Raw genomic sequence first — 13,111 nt, 5'->3', positions numbered from 1 at the left:
GTATGTTAAACTTTCAGAAATAACTCCCAAGTCTGCCATACTGTATCTTGCCACCAAGGAAGCTGCAGATTCTTCATGGTAGCCAATGCTACCAAACAGAAAGTGGTCAACACCAGCAAAGTGCTATAATTAAGAAGCCATTATTGTTGTCAGTCCTATGAACCTGCTGTAATCTGCATCAGCAAAATGGGAGCCTGATTTCTGAATTTCTTTTTCTTTCTTTTCTTTTCTTTTGTTTTTTTTTGAGATGGAGTCTAGCTCTGTCGCCCTGGCTGGAGTGCAGTGGCACTATCTTGGCTCCCTGCAAGCTCCACCTCCCAGGTTCACGCCATTCTGCCTCAGCCTCCGCCTCCTGAGTAGCTGGGACCACAGGCGCCTGCCACCATGCCTGGCTAATTTTTTGTATTTTTAGGAGAGACAGGGTTTCACCGTGTTAGCCAGGATGGTCTTGATCTCCTGACCTCCTGATCTGCCCACATTGGCCTCCCAAAATGCTGGGATTACAGGCGTGAGCCACCGCGCCGGCCTGACTGGACCCTCTCATCTGCTAAATGCTACCATTAAAACCCGAACATCTCAATGGCCGTGCTTGCCAGCAAAATAGCAGTGGCAGGTAGTGCAGTCTCCACTTCAATTCTTCCTTTAAATAGCATGCAAATGGGTTAGGAATGGGGGTTCACACCTGTAATCTCAGTACTTTGGGAGGCCCAGACAGGTTGATCACTTGAGGTCGGGAGTTGAAGACCAGTCTGGCCAACATGATGAAATCCCATCTGTACTACAAAAATACAAAAATTACACGGGTATGGTGGTGCACACCTATAAGCCCAGCTACTTGGGAGACTGAGGCAGGAGAATTGCTCGAGCCAGGGAGACGGAGGTTGCAGTGAGCCGAGATGGTGCCACTGCACTCCAGCCTGGGTGACAGAGTGAGACTCTGTCTCAAAAACAAACAAACAAACAAACAAACAAACAAACTACATAAATAAAATAGAAAAATAAAATATCATGAATATGCATGAAATTGTCCAAACCTATATCACATCAAGAATCCTAACTACAAGAGTCCCTGGGAAATGTGTTTTTCATTTTTCCCAACTTTGCAGATGAGGTTAGCACACTGGACAGGAGATGCGAGTTGAGGGTGAAATAGATGTGACATACTAATCTATCATATTTAATTTCCTTCTCAATTTTATCTTTTATGATCAATAGGCCACCACTATTACCACATTCTATTGATTTCCTTAAAAATGCAGATTGCATTTCTCTTTCATTCCTTCTTTCCTTAGTATAGTCCCTTAATTTCAAATCTGCATTATTGTAGCAACTTCATTGCTTGTTATTCTTCTAATATCTTTCCGTTAAATCTTATTTATTTCATCGAATACATTGTTCTTCCACTTATATGCTCATTACATTCATTAATCACTTATTGAGCATACTGTATGCTAATAACTGTGTTCAAAGTGAAATTAGCATGGTGTTTGCCTTCAGGATGCTTCATTGTCTTGCGGTGATGGTAGTAAAGTTGATGGGGTCCTGAAGAGTAAGACCAAATTCCTCATGAAGTTTACAGAGAAAAACAGGTGGTAAACAACTAAGAAAATAAATTATTCTTATACTGTCACATCAGTCCTATGGTAAGGAATCTCAGTGCTCTCTTTAAAAATTGGATTAATTTGCCTACAACTATCAAAATACTGTATTTCATGGTCCTTTCTTATTTATCAGATTCAGCTTCAATACTTGGAGCAACTCAGCACTGCTAAACACCACTTGAGACACTTTAATCTCTTGCCTGCTCTATCGCATTCACTTTTTTTTTTTTTTTTTTGAGACAGAGTCTCACTCTGTTGCTCAGGCTGCAGTGCAGTGGTGCAATCTCAGCTCATTGCAGTTTCTGCCTCCCAGGTTCCCAGGTTCAAACAATTCTCCTGCCTCAGCCTCCCGAGTAGCTGGGATTACAGGCATGCACCACCACGCCTGGCTAATTTTTTTTGTATTTTTAGTAGAGATGGGATTTCACCATATTGGCCAGGCTGGTCTCAAACTCTTGACCTTGTGATCTGCCCGACTTCGCCTCCCAAAGTGCTGGGATTATAAGTGTGAACCTCTACACCCGGCCTGCATTCACTTTCTAGAAGGTCTATGCCCTTCTATTCTTTGTCCTTAAATTCTCTTTTTCACATAATGGCTAGTGTGATCTTTAAAGGTACTGTCCATATCATATTATTCTCCTGCCTAAAACACTCCAATGGCTGCACATTAAAAATACAACAAAATTGAAATTCTTTCCCTGTGTCTAGAATCTGCAAGACCCTTGCCAACTATCTCTCATCTCATGGCACTACCTCCATCCAGCCTCTTTCTTGAACACACTAGGCTCATTGCCACCAGATACCTCTTATTCTCTTGAACACACTAGGCTCATTACCACAATATATAACTTATTCTCTTGAACACACTAGGCTCATTGCCACCATATGCCTCTTATTGTCTCTGCCTGAGATGCTTTCTCCTGACACCTTTATCTGTCTGGCTCCTTTCTGTCTATCAGGATATAGATCAGGTGCCACCTCTGAAGAGATGCCCAACTCCTAACCACACTAGTCTTATTTCCCTCTTTCATTTTCTAACTAGCAGAAATTATTTGTCAACCAGAATAAGCTCCATCAGGGTCATTGCTTTCTTTTCTCTTGTATCCCCAATGCCAATGTTTAAAACCATGCCTAGCATTCTATAAACATTTGTTGAATTAATGAAGTAATAAAAACTTCATCAATTTATTCTTTATCTCATGTCCTGCCTTCTCTCTAAAACCTTTTTTGATAACACCTACCCACTCTCTTCCTCTCTGAGATTCTGAACTTCCCCTTTGCTGATTGAAATGCCTCTGATCTGGGGTTTGCTTCAGGTACTCTTTAGTGTGTTATCTCCAACTGAATTAGGCCCATGTCTTATTTCCCCAATGCTACAGGTTACTTTTGGGAATAATCAGCAAGAAGTATACTTTTGCACCCCACTCAGTAAGGCTGTGCTGTCTATGAACCACAAGCCCACTCAGACCTCTGAAGAGATGGATGTTGTTTTGAGCATTTAGCCAACAGTATGTTCTTACTCCTTCTGCATTCTGTTGCCTCTTCATACATAAATACAGAAGATGAAATTGTCTAGTTAGAGACCATACATGGTAAGGCAATCTTATAAGCTTGGCTTGTTGCTTCAGAAAGTTACTGAGGCATCAATAGCTCTATGGATCTCTCTGCTGTGGTTACATTGCGTGGGTTCTAGTGAGATCTCCTGTCTTAATCTCTTATCCTCAGTCTTTGAGGCCCCTCTTTAGACTGCGCAGATATAAGTTTAGCCCTTTGATCTGGCCATTTGCTTCTCATAACACTTATTGCGTTTGGTACAATTTTAACCCCTATGTCAGCAATCATGAGATAACTTTATCTGACACCAATTCTAGACTGGCCTTATCCCTATCCCAGAGGAGCCCAGTTGGCAGTTAGTAGACAGAACACTTACGCGGATACATTTTGCTTAGCATGAAGTATATTTTATAAATTTGATCCAACATTTAAAATTAGATTTCACATAAAATTTAGATATCCACGTTGTGTTTAAAAATTAATTCTAGCAATGATGGGTTCATAATTTCACATGGCAACACATGAAAGGGGGAAGCGGCAACAGTGCTCTTTAAATTCACACATACTTGCATTCTGAGAGGCCCCTCTAATCTAATAATGTGTTTTTAACACTTACAATCTAGTCCCTCTAGACTTTTGAGTTTGAGACCTCTGCACTACAATAATCATAGAGCTATACTATGGGGAGCCATTGGGGAGTTTTACACAGGAGAATGATACTATCTGAATTGTATTTTAAAAATATCACTCTGAATGTTTTATGCATAATAGGCTCTACTGTGGCAAGAATGGAAAAAGAGAAACAATATTTAACACTGATTAGGATCCTCTAGGATGATTGCCCAAAAGCCCCAGTCTTGTATTTGATCTGCAGTGATTGCCTGCTCCATGCTGGGCCCTTAGGCCTGGGGCAGTAAATTGGTCAAGCAAGAAGCTTTCATAAATGCTTTCTCCACTTGTGCATATGAAAAAGCTGTAAGTGTTCTAACCTCTGTTCTCCTTTTCTCCTTCTCAACTCTAACCTTCTCTTTGCTTCTGCTCCATTACTGGGCATAGCTTTGCTGCGGGAAATGATGCTACCTCCTCTGCATTGGAGTTCACTGCTCTCCAGACTTCTCCTGGCCTAAGAGTCTTGAATTCATTTTAGCCTTTATTCAGCTGAGGTGAGATTGGCCTTTTACAACCTGGGGCAGTTTGATCATTGATGATCTGGCTGGCAGAGATGCTCACACATACAGGTGTGTTTCTACTTTTCACCCTTTTGGGTCCATTGGGTCTGAAGCACACTCACCAGTTGACCAGTTGCTATGGCTACTCGTAGTTTCCTCCCCGGATTGCATCATCAAGTCAGGAACTCATATATTTTTTGCCACACTTGTTGGAAGACCTCTTTCTGATTTTATTTCTGCCTCTGCTATGTGAGAAACTCCTCACTGGATTCCCAGTTCCTTCTAGGGAATTCCCTATATTTCCCAACATCGCGAGTCCTCTCCAACATTCTTCCAGGTGTAATCTCTTGATAAGTGTCTTTCTAGAATTCTGCTTCAGGTTCATATAGACAGTGTCACAAAATCATTTACTAGAACTAAGAACAGGGTTATTCTCTGATACTACTATTTACCTTAGGGCTAGAAACTTAGGCAGCCAGAACGTTTAAACATGAACCAAATTGCTATCTAAGAAACGCATTTAATGATGATTAAAGCAATAGTAATTAAAGTGAAAAGAGGGCTCTACCCGTGCATATGGAACATGAGTGCCCTCAATTAATCACCTCATTATTATTAAATATTTATTTGAACACCCACCGTGCAGGAGGCATGAAGTTCTGAGAGAATACACCAAAGACATGGACTTACCCTTTGGGAACCTGTGATCTAAAGCAATTTAGACTTCAACTTGTGACAATATGCTCCGGCTGTGACTCTCTGTAGATAAAACAAAGGTTGAAATTCAAAGCATCTCTAAGCTCCAATTTAATCTACTGCTCCCTACACTACTCATATTTCAAATCCTCTGCTTTACTCTCTGCTAGCTAAAGAGTGAGTCCTCCCCCTATCCTTTAAGATTCAGCAAAGAGCTCACCTCCTCTGTGAAGCCTGCCCTGACCCTCCCAGCAGTGTTGATGCCCCCTTTCATGCTTTTGATAGCAACATATGTGTCTATTAAACTCTTCATAACATTACCTTGTCATTCCTTTTATGCAAGCCTTTTCTTACCAACACTAGGTCCTGAATGGAGAGCTTGAACCATGTTATTTCATCTTGTATCAGTAATGTTACTCCTTGAAGCCAGATCTCATTCTCAAGAATCTGATAATCATTTAATTAATTTAAAATTTACTCTGTGCTAGGCACTTTTTGGGATATATGCCTGTAGAAATGGCAGACATAAGGTTTAGCATAAGGTTTAGGACAGATTTTTTAAGTGAATCTTGGAGGAGTATATGATGACTGTTACATACAAGCATAAAAGGGCCATCCTGGTTTAAGTATTCTAGGAAGCCTCCCTGCAAGCATGACATGGATATGGGAGAGGGAACAAGACAAGAGGGAAAGGAGTCAGAAGGCTGGAGTCCAGAAATCAGAGACTGTACCCCAAAAGATTATACCCTGAAAGAAAGGAGATCATTTTGGCTACTATTCTCTGACAAACATGAAACTCATTCCATCTTTACAGCTTTGCTTAAGCTGGAAAACTGTTCTCCTCGCTGGAAATGTCCTCATACATGCTATCATGCTCTCAATTTATTATACTCTTTCTCATCCTTCAAAACTGCATTTTCGTCTTTCTTTTCCTCTATGGAACTTTATCTTTTGATTCCAGATCATGTCGCTATTGCATTTTTGGGACACCTTTGAACACGCATTATTATTTTTTTTTTTTGGTAATTTTTTTTTATACTTTAAGTTCTAGGGTACATGTGCACAATGTGCAGGTTTGTTACATATGTATATATGCACCATGTTGGTGTGCTGCACCCATTAACTCGTCATTTACATTAGGTATATCTCCTAATGCTATCCTTCCCCCCTGCCCCCACCCCATGACAGGCCCCGGTGTGTGATGTTCCCGTTCCTGTGTCCAAGTGTTCTCATTGTTCAATTCCCACCTATAAGTGAGAACATGTGATGTCTGGTTTTTTGTCCTTGCAATAGTTTGCTGAGAATGATGGTTTCCAGCTTCATCCATGTCCCCACAAAGGACATGAACTCATCCTTTTTTATGGCTGCATAGTATTCCACGGTGTATATGTGCCACATCTTCTTAATGTAGTCTATCATTGATGGACATTTGGGTTGGTTCCAAGCCTTTGCTATTGTGAATAGTGCCACAATAAACATACAGAAAACGCATTATTTAATCTTCTCATTGAACACTTAATCACATTCTGTCATTCATATAATAATATTCATATAACAACTTCCTTGAATTTCCTTTGTTTGATTTTTGTTGTTGTTTTGTTAATCATCATGAAAATCCCTAATCAACAATGCTTGGTTTCTTTCCCATACCATCCACCCCATTCAGGAAGATTCTTTGCTCTCACAACAAGCAGAGTCAAAAGAGGGAGGAAATGGAGACACCGAAGTCCATGAGGATAGAAAAAATGAGGCTATTCTTGTCCAAAGCATAGAGGTTGAGCATGGAGGGAGAGTCAACTAAAGTGGATTCTTATTGGTCTGCCCTTTGAGATCAGACCCTTCAGCACAATCTGTCCTCTTTCTTTTTTCTCCAATCCTGGAGAATTATCATTTATCATCCCTGCCATGATGTAGATTGTACAGAGTTTGGGACTACTATAGTGCCCCTTTCATAAACCTGAAGTAGAGTTTCTCAGTGACAGAGAACACCTACCCCTTTCTTTTTCTGATGCTCATAGGGATGATATTGTTATGGGCTGTGCTGTACCCGCGTACCATTAAAGATATTGTCTTTCACCATGCTATGGCAATTTAGTTACACATTAAACAGTTGACATTGTGCAAAGGAGACCTCAGAAACTTTCAAAAACAGTGAGAAGTCCTCTTGATGGGTACTTCATAGCAAGGACCCCTTGTGATAACTCTCCATCAGGCCTTCTCTGATCTGGAGCACAGGATTGAAGCCTGGGATTGCAGATCAAGCCATAGTCTGTGGCTTGGCTCACCTGACCTTCCAATGCATTCTTGAGGAAATGAGTCCCTGTACATGTCTAAATCTACTTTACTACCTGCTTGACACCCCAAGTGATGCTCTTTGGCAGCTTGGCCCCTAGCACAATACCAGGGTGCCACCACCCAGGAGCTATCATCACTGCCCTTTCCTGCCAGGTCACCCTGGACTCAGGAAAACAACATCACAGGTCTGTCCCAGCTACAGTGGAAATGAAGCTTTCATGTCTCCTTCCAAATGCTGCTTATATTTTTATTTACATATTTTATTTGTGCTATCTTTTTCTCTTCTTACTATATCCTGACTGTATTATGAATTGCCATATATACAGAGATTGTGTCCCATCATTTTCTTACATTTTATTGAACATTGAACACTGGTTTTAGCACACTTTAGATGTCTGGTAAATATTTTTTGTTGAGTTCATACATACAAATTATAACAGGAGACAGAATAAATCTAATCACAGATAAAGACTCTTGTTCAATCTCTTTTAATAGGGATGTACTTTTGAGATAACATATTTCATGAAATGTCTATATCTTTTCAACACCATCTAGTCACATAGAATAGACCAAACATGTTACAACCCAAAGGTGAGGTCATTCATGAAGCATTCTTAGAATTGTGATCTACTTTCTAAGAGAAGGCATATGCCCCATTTTGTTGAGACAAATGCTTCTGGTCTCCTGGCTCAGATTACAGAAATATTTTTTCTAAAGAGAGTCAGGACTTATTTGGATCTGTCCTTGTAGGAGGGAGGCCTGAAGAGACATAAACAACCCAAGTGACAAGATTTTTATTTCCTATGTATGACTAGTTATGGTGTACTTTATAATATGGGTAGCATATCCGCTTCAAATTGAGAAAGACAAAGTCCAAAAAGGTTAAATGACTTGCTTAAAGTCACACAGCAACACATGGCCAGGCTTTGCACATTCTCCAGGTTTGATCAATCCTGTGCATGGATGCCAGCTGTTAGACAAAAGGAACCTATGCTCCCCAGAGGGCTTGGGTGATGAACTTCCCTCTTGTCTGGGTCCTACTTGAGGTTGCACGCATTGTTCCATCTTGCCTTGGAAGGTGATTGTTAGTGAAGCCCCTTCCAAACTATTCTTGTAATAATTTCCATCCTGAATCCCAGAAAAATTGAGAACACCGGGTGGGGTTCTGTCCCTCCTGTAAATCTCCTGGCTTGTTGCTATTTATTTAATGATTAATCCTTCAGCACTGCCTTGTTAAATAGAAGGGTAATATTTTCCTTCTGACTGGGCTGGAGGGGCTCCCAGTTCCAGTCAGGTACCTTTGGGCCATGCAGCTGAAGATATATAATGTGCCTTTTGTTTTGGCCCCTGGAAACTGAGCTTGTGTGGTGGTGAAGGATGTTCCTAGTAGTGGATTTTCTTCTGTTTCTCAAGTTTATGGTTAAAAGGAGAACTTATTATAAAGGTTAAGCTTTTATAACTGAGAGAACCAAGAAAGAATTAGAGTATCTACAGCCCCATATGCATGTGTTGTTCCCTTAAATACCTGAGATCACTAAAAACATCAAATCTCCCTAATTAGTACTTTTGTAGCTCTGAAATTTGCAAAAAAAATGTTTAATGTGATAATTATGGGTGAATTGTCAATCTCTATAGTGTGTTTGCATTTGCTCAAAATAATTCAAATGTAACAATATTTTCTAATTTACAGTTAATTGACTGCTAATAGGAAGAGGGGGAAGAATAAAAAAAAAAAGATGCCACAAACAATTGGAGAAATGACTTTAAGCTGAGACCCTTAGTGACCTTAGAGACAAAAATCTGAAACTAGGTTGAAGTGAAATAAGAGATTTTCTAATGAGAAACATTAACTTTTTAGGGGATATTGCAGTTTCCCACCTTGCACAAGAATGGCAAACAGGTTGGCTTTGGAGTATTTATATGCATGCATTGGTTTGTGTGTGTGAGTTTGTGTGTCTGGATGCCATGGGTCTGTGTAGTTTTTGTGTGAGTATGTGATAGGCTTTTTTGAGTTTGTGTCACTATGGCCCTCCTAATCACTTTCTGTGGTCACTTTCACCTTGACAGGCTTGGGTGCTCTTAATTAAATCTTCATATATTTAAAATCATTTCCTTTTTATATCTTGATTATCGGACTCAGATGGTGATGTTGATGGAGGGTTTTCACAAAACAAAAATGCAAACAAAAGCAGAAATTTACCACCAAATAAGAAATCTGAAGATGGAGCTATGTTGTGCAAAACAATCCTATCTGCCATCATATAAGCCCAGGCTTATCACCTCAATCAGGGGATGTACACCTCCAGGCTGCAGATGGCTGATAAGGAATGTAGCTTGAGGGCAATAGCCTTGATGTAGCATCCTTTTTGATGAGTCTCAAGCTTCACCTTTTCAATGAAGACCTGACTAATGTACTATGTGAATCTTTTTTTCCTGAACTCCTATAATCTTTTTAAGCCATACCTGTACTTATTTTTTCATCTTTTATTTTTTAACATGATTTAACAAGTAAGCACACCGAGAGAAAATACTTTGTATAAAGATCTTGTATCTCATATAGAACGCAGTGCAAAACCGTGCTCATTTTCTTTGCCCAGAAATTATTTATAGTTTTATGATTTGATTGAATTCTATATCATTAGGAGAATAGTGTTCAGAATCCCAAATACAGTTGTCTGAAACTTCTTTTGTCCTAAATATTTGCAGAAGTTTGTGCAATGTGTTGAGATACAGAAAGAAGTAGATGACATGATTCCTATTCTTGGGGAAATCTGTAAAGGGAATATATTCTGTGTATTTTACCCATCCTTAGAGAAATAGTTGTAGACTTAGTCAGGGAATGAATAAGTTTTTGAAATAAAGTTACCTATTATTACTGTTGGGTCAATATTTCTCTTGGTAGCCCTTGGGTTTATATAATACAGTGAAATTGAGTCTGTTCATTTCAGCAAAGGTGAGAATAACAAGAACAGCTCAAGGAAGTAGATAATATAGTACTTCATTCGGTTTAGTTTGATATATTTAGATATTTGATATCTCATCGAGTGAGTATCCCATGCCAGGTATTGGGTTAGATGCTGAGAATACAGAGATTATTCAGTTACAATCCCTGCCTGTATAGTTGTCAAGATATTTTAGTAGGTAGTGAATTTTCCTGTTGTGTTTTGATTGTAGAAGTAGAAACTGAGTTCACAGGGATTGTGATAAAGCATGATGGAAATCATGAGAGGATTTACTTATGAGTTTCTGTGCCTCAGTTATTTATTTATAAAATGGGGCTTATGATATCTATCTCTCCCAACCAGCTGGATTATTGTTAGAAGGAAATGAGATAGAGAGATGCCAAAGCTTGCTAAGAGGTTATAAGTTTTCTCACTCATAAGGCATTGTTTTTAGTGTTTTTGGATTTCCATCATTTCAGCAGCCCCTCTCTACAGAAGAATGAGTGGTGGCTAAGACGCTGACATTGGGAACTGAAATGGTCCCAAGACCCACAGAAGACTTGAGTCTAACTTGTGGACTAGGAATGAACAAGAGGAAACAGCACCCCTCCTTTAAAGGCCCATGGCCTGTCTGCTTCTCAGAAGTTTCTTGGCATGGTTCCTTGGTGGGATGGCCCCAGAGCAGACAAAGGATACATCTGTGTGTAATGTGATGTAATTCTCCAACATACATACCTATCAGGGATGCATAAGTGTTTCCAAACCACATTGAGGAAAGCCCCATAGGTTTTAAATAAAAATTATGTGAGACATTTTCTAGAAAGTAAAGCCATGTAAATGTATGTTTAAAACTTACCCCTTATCCTCTCCCTCTGTTAACTACACAGTGTGTACTATACATTTGACAAAAAGGGACAAGTGTCAAGTTATGGCAGCTCATTTTCTGGATCTGATGAGTTGGCATGCCTATTGCATTTATGGACTGGGGAGGACCTAAATGCTGAAAAGATGTCTGGTCCAGGAGTAAGATCAGCAGCAAAGTCTCTCTTACTTGGGATGAGACCAAAGTGGTTACTACATATCCCAGCAAAGTTCGTAAAAATCCTTCTCTCTGCAGTTCAGCCCCTAGACAGTCCCCTTCTCCCTCTCCCAGTGCAGAACAACACGTGGATTGCTCAGTACAACTTGTTCATCACATCCTCCTGTTCACTGAAGAATTATGGAAATATTCTCTGAGCTGCTTTCCTCCCTGCCCAACGAGTCATCTCTGTGTGAAAGGCCAAGCTTATAAATCCTGGTACGTATTGTCCTCTCCCTGTCTCACAGATCTACCTCTGCTAGATTTTCTTCTCTCTTTTCCATTTTAAAACTTATCTTCTTATTTAAAAACATATGTCTTTAAATAAGCTTTTGTCTTTCATAATGTGGAAAAAAGAAGGAAATTACCCTTTGGAACTAATGCTTGCTGATGTCTTACTGATTTACTGGCTCTCTCAGAAGTGCTTTAGATGTACAGACTCGTTTAATCGTCACTGGGACAGATACTATTAGCTGCATTTTAGAGACGAAGAAATGGAGGCAGGGAGAGGTAATATTTGAATGCCTAAGGTCGGGGAACTGGTGGGATATAATGGCTCTGAGATGTGAATCTAGGCCGTTTGGTTCTAATTGTCATGTTTTGTAATAACTACATATGTACAGCTTTCTCCCACACCTATTGCCCCTTCCTGCTATTGCTTTCTCTTCATGTTCTCAAGAAACTATCTGCTTTTACAGACCCAACTTTCATCCCACCCTTTTACAAACACTTACTGTCTCATATTCATTACCACAACTCTACTGAGATCTCTTTTTCCAGGTCATCTTTGAAATTCAAGTTGTCTCTTCTCATGGTCAGTTCTAATCCTTCTTGATAGATGTGTACTATTAGCCTAAGTCCTTCTCTTTAGTTACTTTTGCTTTTACCTAATCACTTCTGGACATCCCCCTAGGGCAACCTAGAAAGAATAATTGCCAAAAGAATATAAGAATTGTAAAGTCAAGGAGACTGACATTCCAACCTAGGATTTTAGTGATATTAATAAGTTCCTGAGCTATAATTTAGTTGGAATTGGTGAGAGGCCACGAGGAGAAAAAGGAGTCAAAGTATGTGTGTAGGGAGGGGCGGGGAGGGGGTGGGTGTGTGCGGGGATATCCAAGGCTGTGAACCTTGTTATAAAGTTAAGAAAAATAAGGAAGTTTAAAAAAGGAACTGATTTGGGATATAAATTAAAAATTTTAATTGTTAAATGATATGCTTGAAGTGCTGGCAGTGTATCCAAATGAAAATATTCATGAAGAAGTTGAAATGTGAACTATAACCTTAGAACCCATGGAGATAGGTGAGATTTTAAGAGGGAGAATACTGAGAATGACATTAGCAAAATTTTTTTCACACCAGTCCTTTGCATAAAAGACAAAATCATCAACTTAAAACTTAAAGCCTTTCAAAATCTGGCAACGGACATTTCAATTCCATTCAGGCCAACGATTGAGTGCTTATTATGTCAATAAAAGAGAACAAGAAAAAAAGACACATTTTTTTAGTCAGGGTCCTTGGTCGCAAACAACAGAGACAAAGCCTGAATAAATTAAGCAGAAAAGGAATTTATTGGAAGAATACTGGATAACTCCAAGAATAATTGGGAAGAGTAAAGAACTGGCCTCAGAAAATGAGCAGAAGCTGAAGTAGGCTAGTGTGTGTGCCTGAATTACATCTAAGAAGATGCTACAAAAAGAATCTGACCTACAATACTAGGTCTGGGTATTAGAAGTCACCACTGACATGGTTGCTGGGAGATGCATGCCGTCACCA

At 39.6% G+C, this 13,111-nt stretch overlaps 1 long non-coding RNA gene and 1 pseudogene across 1 annotated transcript in view; one reads left to right on the top strand and one right to left on the bottom strand.

Moving 5' to 3' along the window:
• Positions 1-13,111, top strand: part of LINC01478 (long intergenic non-protein coding RNA 1478) — a 208,263-nt gene that overhangs the window by 1,919 nt on the left and 193,233 nt on the right. Inside the window, exon 2 of the long non-coding RNA NR_110792.1 lies at positions 11,411-11,554. This is a non-coding gene — a long non-coding RNA (long intergenic non-protein coding RNA 1478). The remainder of the gene's footprint in view (positions 1-11,410; positions 11,555-13,111) is intronic.
• Positions 6,705-7,413, bottom strand: MLECP1 (malectin pseudogene 1; annotated as a pseudogene).

Source organism: Homo sapiens, chromosome 18 (assembly GCF_000001405.40).
Source record: "Homo sapiens chromosome 18, GRCh38.p14 Primary Assembly".
Lineage (NCBI taxonomy): Eukaryota > Metazoa > Chordata > Mammalia > Primates > Hominidae > Homo > Homo sapiens.
Note: the sequence above shows the minus strand (reverse complement) of the source record. Positions and strands in the feature narration are given on the sequence as shown.